General features: G+C 37.3%; 1 protein-coding gene across 4 annotated transcripts in view; it reads right to left on the bottom strand.

Annotated features, from left to right (window-relative positions):
• Window positions 1–14,810, bottom strand: part of PLPP1 (phospholipid phosphatase 1) — a 110,111-nt gene that overhangs the window by 48,989 nt on the left and 46,312 nt on the right. For 2 of the 4 annotated variants that reach the window (NR_103485.2, NM_003711.4), the window contains one exon: window positions 1,457–1,608. The exons of the other annotated variants lie outside the window; for them this stretch is intronic. Coding sequence is in view for 1 of the 2 variants with exons in the window: in NM_003711.4 (NP_003702.2) it covers window positions 1,457–1,608 (152 nt within the window). In the remaining variant the exon portion in view is untranslated. The remainder of the gene's footprint in view (window positions 1–1,456; window positions 1,609–14,810) is intronic. 4 annotated transcript variants of the gene reach the window in all.

Consider the following 14,810-nt stretch of genomic DNA (forward strand, 5'->3'; position numbering starts at 1 on the left):
GGATGGATATAGGCAGGGGTCTTGCTATGCTACCCAGGTTGGTCTCAATACTTCAGGGCTCAAGTGATCCTCCTGACTTGGCCTCCCAAATGCTGGGATTACAGGCGTGAGCCACCACATCCACCATATTTTCTGGTTTTTTTGTTTGTTTGTTGTTTTTTTTTTTTTTTTCCAGACGGAGTCTCATTGTGTCAACCAGGCTGGAGTACAGTGGTGCAATCTCGGCTCACTGCAACCTCTGCCTCCTAGGTTCAAGCGATTCTCCTGCCTCAGCATCCTGAGTAGCTGGGATTACAGGTGTGTGCCACCACACCCAGCTAATTTTTGTATTTTTAGTAGAGACGGGGTTTCACCAGGTTGGCCAGGCTGGTCTCGAACTCCTGATCTCAGGTGATCTGCCTGCCTCGGCCTCCCAAAGTGCTGGGATTACAGGCATGAGTCATTGCACCCAGCCTTCTACTTTTAACTAACATAAATCTTGTTTATAAAGTCACAAGTTATGGTCAGCAGAGCCATGCAGTGGAAGCATGCTGGAACCATAATATTACAAGCTATGGAGCACAAAACTGTTAAGTTACAGAATTTTAGTAGAGATTATAAAAATCATGTAGTCCAGTCAATAGTCTTATCCCTAGACACATTCTTTAAGCATTTCCACCTGAAATACCGGAAAACAACAGTTACTATTTTAGTTTAAGACTCACTCTTGCATTCAGTACCAGTAAAAATTCTTTCATATTCACTACTAATCATATATAGAACTATAGCTTTTCTCTCCTGTGTATGATATGATCTAAAAATTATTTAAAGTAAGCGTGCATTGAAGTTTTAACATCACTTAGCAAAATTTTTCTTTTCTAGAACTCAGTACAGAGGGAGAATCAAAAACGGTAGGTACATACATACAGATACAATAAATTATAAAATGATATCCTATGTATAAAGTATGCTAGAATCATATTGCTATAACATTCAACTATTGATCACAAGATTATTAAAACAATAAAATTAGAGCTCTAACAATCACAGTGACATGGAAAAGATTAGCATAAAATCTATACATAGCCAGCAAGGTTCTTTTCGTGTTTTTTTTCTGTTTTTTTTTAAGATGGGATGTTGCAGTGTTGTCTGGGCTGGAGTATAATGGCTATTCACAGATGTGATCATCACATATTATAGTATCCAACTCCGAGACTCAAGCGATCCTCTAGCCTCAGCCTCTCGAGTAGCTGGGACTACAGGCATGTCACCATGCCTGGCTCTTACAATTACACATTGTTATTTTTTGACTCCACTTAAAATAGCTGAGATTCTCTTGATCAAATAAAGCATCAATTAAAGGTTTAAAAAGCATACATTGTTTTTGGAGGATTACACATTTAAGCATTAAAAGAGTAACAGAAAATTAAGCCAAGTGCCCAAAAGTTATAAACTTGGAAAAGTGGATTTAACTTACAACGATAATACTGAATGGAATGATTATTCCACCTAATAACGCATAAGGTATGGTGTCTTCTTTGTAAGGGTACTTGATGGACTCATCATTACAGAATACTCCTCGTTGGAAGGGGGTATGCCTTGAAGTAAGAATTGCAAAAGGCAATCCAGCTAGCAAAAGGGAATAAATGAAAATATCATTAAAAAAGAAATATCAAAACTAATTAATGGCAATAATTATCCCACAGACTCTGTCTAAAAATGCATTTGCCATGAAAATAAATGAGAGCACATGTAAAAAAGGAAATGCAGCAATGCATGCAACGGAAGTTAGAAAGATTACAGTTTTAAGATAAAGATGTTTTGTCTACAGCAAACAAAGTGTTCAAATCCTCTATTAACCAATTTAACAAAGAGTTATCTTTCCTTTGTTTCTGTCCAAACACACTAAATGGATTTTGGAAAAATCTCTTCTCACGTTCTTGTTGTCATTTAATCACCAGGTTTTTAACGCTACTTCCAAACCAATTTTTCATGGGCTTTGCTTCCAAAAAGAAAACATTTTAGCATTCCATATTTGGATAGGTCATTGTCACTGGCTAAGCTATCAGAGTATCTAAATAAAACTTTATCCACTCATTTCTGTATTGTCTATAGCAGGCTGAAAGCTGCTATAAAAAGGAATCTGAACTTAAAGTTTCTTTTTTTTTTTTTTTTGAGACAGGGTCTCATTCTGTTACCCAGGCTAGAGTGCGATGGTGCGATCATAGCTAAGTGCAGCCTTGATCTCCTGGGCTCAAGCTATCCTCCCGCTTCAGCTTCTTGAGCAGCTGGGACCACAGGCACGCACCACCATGCCAAGCTGGTTTGTTGGTTTTTTTGGGGGTTTTTTTTTGTTTTTTGTTTGTTTGTTTTTTAGTAGAGACGAGGTCTAGCTATGTTGCCCAGGCTGATCTTGAACTCCTGAGCTCAACTGATCCTATAGCCTCAGCCTCCCAAAGTGCTGGGATTACAGACATGAGCCATTGCACCCAGTCCTGAGCTTAGTTTCTTAAGAAAAGATGACAATGGAGTCAAGCATAAAAGCACCTAACAGAGAGCGCTGTTTTTATCATCAGCGTTTTCTATAAAGATCATGTCTTATACTCACCTCCTAAAACGCCAAATTTTTGCCTAAATGTGAACTTCAAGAATTCAATTCTCCTTTACTTCACTGAACTTGACCTACTGATTAATACTACAGCATACTGACTAGTACTGTGTTGTAAGAGATGCAGGTTAGCAGAAACCCTCCACATGAGATCTGCTTTAAGACTGACCCAAGCCTGAAACGCTCTCTCCCTAAGTGATCCATGTCCCTGCAGTAATACCATAACCACTAAGCTAACACACTCACTGTAAAAGTGTTGCTTCTCCATGAAGCACCAAGACTTGATGACCATTTGCAGTTCTCATTAACTCCACTAAGGCCCTAAAGGCTAAATGACAACCAAGCCTCTGTCACTCTGCCTGAGTGTATTTACCACAAATATCAAATCTGTTCAATCTATTATAAGAGCTAAAAAGGAGAAGCACATGAAATCACATTTCATTCTTAGCTCTTTTATCTTCCCATTTTTCATTTAGACATTGAATACATGAACCAAAGTTTAGTTCTCTGTATTAGTCAATTTGCCAATAGCTGTCAACCCTTTAAAAGTCTTTAAGATGCTACAAGGTTCCCAAAGCTATACTTCTAGTAATGCTACGCCTTAAAAGAAAAAAAAAAAAATAATAAACTAGAGCTGACTTTGCTAACTGACACTTATACTGGCCTTCATATCCCAATTCAGACTATCCTCTGATTCACCAAATAGTTTTCATTCATAGGAATGGGGTAAAATGGCCAAGTTTTCAATACATATACCATGGTTACAATATAACTTCAAAAGAATTTGCACAAACCTTTTGCACTTATCAGCACACACTGTGGAGGTAAATACACAGGGCTGTGATTTTATTATTGGCTGCCCCATGCAGTAACTAAATGCTTAGCCCCCTAATCAATAACCATACTCTAACCCAATGAGCAAATTTATTTTGTACATAAAAAGAACCACTACTTCTTTTTTCTTTTCTTTTTTTTTTTTTTTGAGATGGTGTCTTGCTCTGTTGCCCATGCTGGGGTGCAGTGACACAGTCTCGGCTCACTGCACACTCCACTTCCAGGACTCAAGCAATTATCCTGCCTTAACCTCCCAAGTAGCCAGGACTACAGGCACCCACCACCACGCCCAGCTAATTTTTGTATTTTTAATAGAGAAGGGTTCTGCCATGTTGGCCAGGCTGGTCTCAAACTCCTGACCTCAAGTAATCCACCCAGCTCAGCCTCCCAAAGTGTTGAGATTACAGGCATGAGCCATAGTGCCCAGCCAAAGAACCTCTATAATCTAATTTAGTCTATACAAAATAATTGAAACTTTCACTGTCTACAAAGCATATTTCTGAATTGGTTGCATTTTCCAATAAACATTTCTTTCTTTTGGAATAGTATATTTAGTATAGAAATTAAATTCACAGGTGTGGTGGCATGCACCTGTAGTCCCGGCTACTTAGGAGGCTGAGGCAGGAGAATCACTTGAACCCAGGAGGTAGAGGTTGCAGTGAGCCGAGATTGTGCCATGGCACTCCAGCCTGGGTGACAGAGTGACACTCTGTCTTAAAAAAAAAAAAAGAAAGAAAGAAAGAAAGAAAATTCACATATAATAGGATTCGAGTCCAAAACTCACTAGGCTGTGTGTCCTTATTCTCAGAGAAAACATATAGGCCCTAATACACATGCCCAAATGTATTTAGAAATGCTATTAACATGTATGTCCATTAATATTAAGGGGTTTTGTTCCCCCCTGACCACAAAAACCATGTTAGAAACTATTCTTAGATTTAGAAAAAAAGTTTGTGGGTATTTTTCAGGATAGTAGGGGAACAAAATAAAACCCCATACAAAGGATAATAGCCCATTTTAAAAAATAAAAATATTCATGTGGGCAAATACTAAGTAAACCCACTGTGCAAGGAATTCCGCTAGGTGCTACCAGGAATACAAATTGAATAAGGCACAGTACATAATTATAGCAGAGAATAAACTGAGGTACAAAAAATTCTGAATGTTCGAAAGAAAAGGAGAGTTGGTGATATCTCTGAGTGTGATATTCGATAAGCCAGTAGTTATGAGAGACTCCATCTCAGCAGAAGGGGTCTAGGACAGAGACAGAGATTTGGGGATAGAAAGGGTCTCTAAAGTCACAGAGGTACAAAACACTGTACAGGATGTATACAGAGAGAAAAGAAGTGGAGGATGAGGCACAGAGCAACAGCAGAGGAAGATGAGGAGAGGAAGAAGATCCACTAAGGCAGACATGAGTGGGGTAAGGGCAGGTCAGGAGACAGTGACCTCACCGTGGCCACATCAGAAAGAGGGGGCATACAGGAGGTGGAGATTGGTCCACAGTGCCCAATATGGCATCCAATGGGATTTCAATTGCCAGTCTTAGTAAAAGAGGTTTTAATAAGAAGGGGTAATATCCTGACTTCAAGTTTTGGTAAGGAAATATAAGAAAATAAGCATGAATCTACCACAAATGTACACTATTCTGTTGAGAGAATCAAGAAAAGAGGCTGCCACCACCAAAGGCCTTAGAAATATTTTTAAATTGATAATAAATAATGGCCAATATTTGCCATTCCTCGTATAAGCCTATGAGATTTTTTTTTTTTTTTTTTGAGACAGAGTTTCACTGTTGCTGCCCAGGCTGGAGTGCAATGGTGCAATCTCGGCTCACTGCAACCTCCACCTTCCGGGTTCAAGCGATTCTCCTGCCTCAGCCTCCAGAGTAGCTGAGATTACAGGTGTGCACTACCATGCCCAGCTAGTTTTTTTGTATTATTAGTAGAGATGGGGTTTCACCATGTTGGCCAGGCTAGTCTCAAACCCCTGACCTCAGGTGATCCACCTGCCTTAGTCTCCCAAAGTGCTGGGATTATAGGCGTGAGCCAGTGTGCCTAGCCAAGATGTATTGAATCAATGTCATTACCCAGTGCCATTTCATTTTCACTAACTATCTAAACCTAAATACAGACCCCTGGAAGGGGATGAAGAAAAAGACCAAACCACAGGTTGTTCACTGACCCACCTAAGGCTCAAAAAGAACAGCTCTTTCAGATTCCTGTTCTGGAAATATGTGAATTTTAACAAAAACTGAGTAAGTCCAAGGTGGCAAACAACACTGAGCCATGTACAAGGAAGACTGGCTGAAGAAGAAGCTGAGAACAAAGCAGGTCTACAGAGGAAGAAGCAGTGACTAGCCTGGTCCCTGAACCGGGTGAAATGGGAAAGTAGCTCTGGCTCCCCACTGCCAAAAGGCCTCAGTGATCTTGCTGTTTGGGGTTATTAGAGCACCTTTTACCCTTTTCAACAAAGCCCAATTTTACTTAATCTAGTTAGAATTTCTACTCCTTGAAACCAAGAGAGACAAAGCAAAATCAACTATAATTTAACCATTCCTCCTACTTTGAGAGCATGTAGGTTATTTTTAATTTTTTGATTACCCTATGTGATGCTATAGTGAACATTTCTGAATACAAATTCTTGTTTGCATTTCTAGTTATTTCCTTAAGATATATATGTATGTGGAATTAAAAGATACAAACATTAAATCCTTGATAAACTATTCCAAAAGGGTTAGTGCACACCATCAACTTACTTCACCAGACACAGTGTACAAAAGTGTGGAGAAATGCAAACATTTAAATAGATACTTGATGTTAACTTTGACATTTACTGAAGATTAAGGCAAAAGTGAAAGAGTTCCCTTTCTTCGTTTATCAAATCAAGTCAAAACCCTTTTCCTTTCACCTGAAAGATTATATCTCTAAATCTCTTTCATCATTTCTCAAATGACTACCCTTGTCAAACACTGTTTCTTATTACTTGAGCTGGCAAAATTCATTTTCATGCTCCCTTTTTTTAAATTGAGGTATAATTTACATACCATAACATTCATCCATTCTAAGTATACATATAATTCAATGGTTTTGGTAAATTTATATAGCTATGCAACATCACCACAATCTAGTTTTAGAATATTTTCATTACCCCCCAAATTCCCTTGAGCCCATTTGCATTTAATCCCTGCTTCCACCAAGAAACCCAGGCAACCACTCATCTGCTATCTGTCTCTACACAAATTTGCCTTTTCTAGACATTTCATATAAATGGAATTATACAATATGTAGTATTTTATATGTGGCTTTTATCACTCAGCATAATGTTTTCGAGGTTCATCTGTGTTACAGCATGCATTTTGTTCCTTTTTATTAATGAATAGTATTCAGTTGTATGTATATACCACATTTGGTTTACCCACTCACCAGTTAATGGACATTTAGATTGCTTCCAGTTTTGTGCTATTATGATTAATCCTATGAACATTCATATACAAGTATTTTTGTAGATATGTTTTCATTTCTAATGGGTAGATACCTACAAGTGGGATTGCTAGGTCATATGGTAAGTTGATGCTTAACTTTTTAAGAAATTGCCAAACTGTTTTCCAAAGTTGTTGCACCCTTTTACATTCCCACATTCCGCTTTTTGATACATTCACTAGTCAGCCCATGACTCAGGTTCTCTGCATAGTAAACTCATACTCAGCTATAAATAAACACAACTTTCTATATTTTACCAGTGAATATTTATAATGGTTCAAGACAGAGTATGTGATATGGTAACTTACTGCTTCCACAAACCAAATACCACAAGAACACTTCGCCGTCCTTTATTAGAGACAGGAAAGGACAACATAAGAACATGGTCACACCACATCTTCTTTAACTTCCTCTTGCACAAATGCTCAGGATCTTGGAACCATAATACAAATACTAACAGTTTTATTTAGAAATATTGGTGCTGGGGTATCCAGCAAATCTGGGAAACTGGTTAAAAACTCTTTTACATGTGAAGGGAACTCTTCTAATATTAGCGAAAATTACAAAACTGCCTTCACAAAATAATGTTTTAAGGATCACCTATATAGCACCATGGATATATTGTTCCTTTTTGTTGCTGAACAGTATTCCATTGTACGAATCTAAAACATACCAGATGCCCAAGAGAGAGTGGCATGCAACTTTAGAGACCACAGTAGCAAATCACTAAGGGATACACTGCCTTGGGGATGACAGCAGCTGGCAACAGTCTGAGAAATCCTGACACACAGATGGCAGGTGCCTTGGGATTTACTGTGAGATCAAGTACTACCTCAATAGTTTGGAAGAAAAAAAGACCCCATAGGCAGACCAAAAGACCCACGGAATAGAAAGAACTGTGTCCACTTGTGAAATATTTCAGGAAATACATTCTTCTCTTAATGCCTGAACAAGTAGAGAAGAATGTGGATGTAGGCTAGAAGCCTGAAGAACCCAGACATATAGGTCAGACTGTCAAATAATGGAGCTATTACTATTTTGTTAATAAAATTGCTCATAAGAATTGAGAATCAGTACTTTCCACAATGCTGTGGATAGGAAATGCAGCTACACATGAGAATAAGTAAACAAGAAAATAAAACTTTTTTCCAACCTAAGAAACCAATCTCCACAGTACTATATTTCTACAATTCTAATAGACGTTTCCTCCATATTTTAAGATATCTCCAAAGAGGGAAATACATATATATATTTTTATTTTTATTTTTATAAGATCTATAAATATATATTTATTTATATAAGATACATCCAAAGGGGGAAATATAAATATAATTATATATTTATATTTAAATATTATATTTAAGTATTATATTTAAATTTTATATATTTATATTTCCCCCTTTGGAGATATACATATCTCATACATATATATATAGTATATAGTATATACACACACAGACACACACACACACACACACACATCTCCAGTCAGGATACGCATTCAATGTAAGTCTCCTTTGTCCCCCCTCACCCCCGAAAAACTGTTTTAATGAGGTATCTGATAGCAAGAGATGACTTGGAAATATGGTCAGTTTCCACAGAGTTAAGCTGAATTTTCATGGTAGTAGTCATTATCAAACATAAACAACAATCTTATTCTATTTAACATTTTGTAGTTTTTCATAAAATTTTCTACCTCAAGTTATTAAACACCTATTACATGCCACTAAGGTTACAATGGTGAGCAATACAGACCATTCCTACTCTAGTGAAGATTATTGTCTTACTGCCTATAGAGGTGAAAATAAGAAATGGCAGCACAGCGCCTATGTCCCCATGAAAACAAGGGAGAAATGACAAACAAATGTGAGCAATAGACTGTTTGGATACCAGCTTCCTGAACCAGTACAGGAAAAGGACAGCAAGAGAGATGTGCCTTGCCATAAAACCTAACCAACTCCAATCTCCTCTGCTATGCAGGGTAAAATTCTAAAGCCACTTCGCCATAAGAACACTTTACTTATATAGTACTTTACACTTTATAAAAATAAACTTATTAACCCACTCATTCTTTCTTCCTCAAGACTAGCAATTTCTTATTACCATTTAAGTAAGCTATTCAAAATAATAAAAATTATACCTCAGTTACCTGCTTTGTGGGCAGCTTCTCTAAAAAAATATTATTTTTTCAAACAATGTACCAAAAACAAAGAACTTCAGAAAATCCACATATATATAGTAAATAATCTCCCTCATCTTCCAAAACATTATCAAATCCCAAACTTTTCAAATGTGGTATTCCACAACAATTCAACCCAAAAAATGTATCCTGTGTTACTTCCCCCAGGTGTTAACAAAGGGAGTAAAAGTGATTTTTTAAAATTAACTTAGGAGCACTTAGACTACCAAAATTAATAAAAAATATTTCTTAATATTTCTTAAAAAGTCGTATTTTATCCTTTAAAATTGTGAATATTGTCTACTTAATATATTATTACACTAGTAATATTTATAGTGAAAATCTGATTAATCAATGCCAGAAAAATACAAGTGCTTAATGGTATACAAAAGCTAGACATTTTTCATTATGCTAACACACAAACAACATCAGTTGAAAAGGATAATTCAAAGTACATTATTCGAGGCTAGGTGCAGCGGCTCATGCCTGTAATCCCAGAACTTTGGGGAGGCTGAGGTGGGCAGATCACATGAGGTCAGGAGTTCAAGACCAGCCTGGCCAATGTAGTGAAACTCCGTCTCTATTAAAAATACAAAAATTAGCCAGGCATGGTGGCACATGCCTGTAATCCCAGCTACTCGGGAAGCTGAGGCACAAGAATTGCTTAAACCCAGGAGGCAGAGGTTGCAGTGAGCCAATATCATACCACTGCACTCTAGCCTGGGTGACAAAGGGAGACTGTCTCAAAAAAAAAAAAAAAAAACTACATTATTAGAAATTTTGGGTTGAGAGGCTATTTCCATTTCTGTATTTTTTACACTTAGAATGACTTTACAAAAATCTCCAACCAAAAACTATAACAATCCACATCCCAGAGTAAAGGAATTTTAATAGACCAATACTTGGTCTATTAAATGGAGATATAATGGGATTTTAAATAATGCATATTTCTGAATTAACCTAGAACAAAGGTTTTTTGCATATTAAGATATGTTTACATAGATGTTCTTCTACGATGAGCTACTAACTCACTATGCAATGCACGCTTAAGATAAAGTTCATCATTAATAGACAGTGACAAAGGCTCTTTAGTTGACTAAACATTAGTTAACCAGCTGTGAACCCTCTTCTCAACTAGGCCTCAACCTTGGCCTTTCATGTCAGCCTGTCCTTGCATGGTGTGCAAGGACAGGACATGCCCAGTCTTAGCAAAAGTCCTGCTAAGTCAGCTAAGCAAGAAGCCCCTCATCCTTGATATATGATTAAATTCCTCATCTCCCACCTTTGATACATAAATCTTTGGCCTGCCTTAACAAGAATCTCCTACCTTTGATGTCTCCTCTTCGTGATTTTCCATCCACTGATTCCCCTCACCCATAAATCCACCCCCTTCTCCTTGTTGTAGTTAGAGTTGAGCCCTCCGCTATTGCACTAGGTGCAATAGTCTTGAGTAAAGTTTTCCTTACCATTTTAACAAGTATCAGAATAATTTTTTTCAACAATAGAAACCCATATTAGATGGAAAGTTTCCAACTCCTAAGTAAACTTGGGTTGGCAGATTCAAAGGAAACAACGAAAACTTTTTTAAAAAATATTAAATTGTATCAAACCAACAACTGAGTGCTTTAAACACTTTCAAGGTACCAAGGCTATAGAGTAAAAAATACAGAGACTGGGGTCTATAACAAAGAATGTGGCCTTTGTCCCTGGGAGAGAGACTCGAAAACCTTACAATTTCCTGAGTAATAGGAGGGTCTTTGTTATTCTTGAGCCCCTTGGTTCACACCTGGGTTTATGCTAATGAATGACTCAGGATGGGGGCTGGTCACACTAACCATGTGATTAGGGGGACAGGGCTTTAAACCAGCTCAACCTCCAGGTAGGTGAGGGGAACTAGAGATCAAGTTCAATTGCTTGGCCAATGATTCAATCAATCATGACTACATAATAAAACTCTAATAAAAACAATGGACACTGAAGGTTGGAGGAGCTGCCTGGTTGGTGAACATATCAATGTGCCAGAAAAGTGACACATCTTGATGACATTGGGAGAGGACAGAAAAGTTCTACATTCAGGCTGCCCCCCACCCTGAGACTTTGACTGTGTATCTTAATTTGGCTCATTCTGATTCTTTATAATAAAACTATAATCATAAGTAAAATGATTTCCTGAGCTCTATGAGTTGTTTTAGCCTATTACTGAACCTGACAGAGTCACAGGAACCCCCAGAGTTGCAGCCTGGGGAACTTCAAATTTGCACCTGAAAACTACAGTGAAAGCAGTCTTATTGGGGACAATGACCTTAAATCCGTGGAGTCTCATGCTAACTCCAGGTGGTTAGTGTCAGAATTGAATTACAGCATGCTGCAACACAAAAGACAAACTTTCCACATTCAAGGAGTTACATGGGTATGTGTAGATCCACTCAGGTTAACGGACAACCAATCACTTCTAAAAAGCCTAGTCAGCTACGTAGACTGCTGAGCCACAGGACAAGGAGTGAAGTTTGATTTACTGTGAAATCTCAAAACATAGTTATTTTGATCTTTTTTTTTCTTTTGGCACTTTCTTAGAAACAGACAAAATCCACACACATAACAGTTAAGCTTCCACAATGCTATGTAAAAATGGGTATATAGTTAAGGCATTTAAACTTCAGGTATATGAAAAATGAAAACAGAAAAATTTCTAATGGGTTTTTAAAAAATAAAAATAGGCTTCCTTATTTGAAAAAACAATGTTCAAGGGAGGGGAAAAACAGAAAATATAAGAGACCAAATGAAAATATCTCATATACTAATAATCCCACTATTCAGAAAGAACGATTACTATTCTTCTCCCTCTCAATATATTACAAAAATCTTTCTATGTCAATATTATCAAAACTTATGAAATATCATAATATTTCATCACTAGAATAAATCATAAAACAGTCCCCTACAGCTGAACTTACTTATTTCCAATTTTCTTCTATAAAAAGTACTGTAATCAGCTGTCTTCCAACTAATTCTCTATATGAAACTTTTATTTCCAGGATAAATTCCTTCCAGTATAATTTATAGGTTCAACAATATACTCTTTTTAATGCCAATTTATACCCCTGCCAGATTTGTGTATGAGAACACCTGTTTTCTATGCTTGATAAGCTGGGAAAGTTCTTACCTTTGCTACTGTGACAGGCCAAACTGTGTTCTCAGTGTTGCTTTAATATAAACTTTGATTTCTTAAGACTTAGTCTTAAGAAATGTTAAATGTTAAAGCATTTCTTTATATTTCTTGGCAATTTTCTTCCACTGACAGCTTTCTAGTCATGCCCTTTCCCCATTTTTCTTTGAGGTAGTCATCTGTTTTTCACTAAGTTATAAAATATATAAAGTGGCTGGATGTGGTGGTTCACACCTGTAATCTCAGCACTTTGGGAGGCCGAGGTGGGTGGATTGCTTGAGGTCAGGAGTTCAAGACCAGCCTGGCCAACATGGTGAAACCCCATCTCTACTAAAAATACAAAAAATTAGCCAGTTGTGGTGGCACACGCCTGTAGTCCCAGCTACTTGGAAGGCTGAGGCAGGAGAATCACTTGAACCCAGGAGGCGGAGGTTGCAGTGAGCTGAGATCACACCACTATACTCCAGCCTGGGCAACAGAGCCAGACTCCATCTCAAAAAATACAATAAAATAACATAAAATATATAAAGTGATTAAGCCTTGGTCGGGCGCCGTGGCTCACGCCTGTAATCCCAACACTTTGGGAGGCCGAGGCGGGCAGATCACGAGGTCAGGAGTTTAAAACCAGCCTAACCAACATGGTGAAACCCCATCTCTACTAAAAATACAAAAATTAGCAAGGCGTGATGGCACACCCCTGTAATCCCAGCTACTTAGGAGGCTGAGGCAGGAGAATCGCTTGAACCCGGGAGGTGGAGGTTGCAGTGAGCCAAAATCGCACCATTGCACTCCAGCTTGGGCGACAGAGCGAGACTCCACCTCAAAAAAAAAAAAGTGATTAAGCCCTTTTCACAAACATCCATGTACATTTCCAGTTTAGGTCACCATAAGTAATACAATCACTCTTTAGAAAAAGTTTAATAAGTTGGTCACAAACATTGGCTATACTGTTATTTTAGGCTAAGTATTTTTGCTAAAAGGTTATGCCATACAGTAATCATCACTTAAGAAAAGCAACTACTTACAGTCAGTACTCAAGTCGATTTAAAATAGCCTATTAAACATAGGTAAGTTTTCTATCCTGAAACTACAAATTTTTAAATTTAGACAAAGTATATTATTCATTGCAACATATGGATTTGAGATTTAATACTAACTTTATTGTTACTATCATTACTCTGAAAGTTTGTACATAAAAAGTCTTGCCTTTTTCTAGAAATATAAGAATTTATAAAAGTAAATGTATAATGAATTACCAAGGGAGAAGGTAGAACTACACAAAGCCAAAAATGATGGAAAAAAAAAAGTCTGGTGTCAAATCTAATATGGATCATTAAAACCCAAAAACAAAAAAAAAATGTAAAAGCCAAATAATGCAGAAATCTATAGTTTTCTGAATATGGCACCTTTTTGGATAGCTAAAGAAGAAACAGTAAATAATATATTTCTTAAAAAGATTATGAACCTCGCATTGTAAAAATAAATCACTGCTTTAAAATATAGATTTTCTATCACCCCAAATCTTAATTCTGATCAAATTATAAGGCACATTATATGAAAGTTATGTTAAGCATAAATAATTCATTTTATAGAAAATAAATTATTTTCTATATATAACAGATGTTATACACAAACTATTAAAACAAACAAATCTACCCTAAGAATTTGCAAGAATTCCTTCCTGCACATTCAAGCACATTTAAGGCCCAGAAACTGGCCAAATACTACTTCTTTAATTAAAAATAAATTGGCATTAGGTCGGGCGTGGTGGCTCACGCCTGTAATCCCAGCACTTTGGGAGGCCGAGGCTGGTGGATCACCTGAGGTCAGGGTTCCAGAACAGCCTGACCAACATGGTGAAACCCTGTCTCTATTAAAAATACAAAAAATTAGCCGAGTGTGGTGGTATTGCACGGCAGTTGTAGTGAGCCAAGATCATGCCACTGCACTCCAGCCTGGGCAACAGGACAAGACTCCGTCTCATAACAAACAAATAAATAAATAATTGGCATTAAAATATTTTTCCAGGTCAATCCTAACAGCAAACTCACAGGAATTAATCAAAGTTTGATACTAAGATTGATAAAAAGATTGATACTAAGTCTTTTTCCACTCCTTAAAAAAAAAAAAATTTAGCCCTATTGCTATTTAAGCTGCTTGATATTATAATACTATAACTAAAAAAAAAAAAATTGTTATAAAGATAAGTAAAAAAACAAAGCACAAAACTAAATCTGTGGTGTGCTCATAATGATATAAAAACTGTCAAACTAGATTGGGTGTGGTGGCTCATGCCTGTAATCTCAGCACTTTGGGAGGCCGAGGCAGGTGGATCACCTGAGGTCAGGAATTCAAGACCAGCCTGGCCAACATGGTAAAACCCCGTCTCTACTAAAAATACAAAAATTAGCCAGGTGTGGTTGTGTGTGCCTGTAGTCCCAGCTACTCGGGAGGTCAAGGCAGGAGAATTGCTTGTACCTGGGAGGCGGAGGTTGCACTAAGTCGAGACTGTGCCACTGCACTCCAGCCCAGGCAACAGAGTGAGACTCCATCTCAAAAAAA

Source organism: Homo sapiens, chromosome 5, assembly GCF_000001405.40.
Source record: "Homo sapiens chromosome 5, GRCh38.p14 Primary Assembly".
In the NCBI taxonomy this organism is placed as follows: domain Eukaryota; kingdom Metazoa; phylum Chordata; class Mammalia; order Primates; family Hominidae; genus Homo; species Homo sapiens.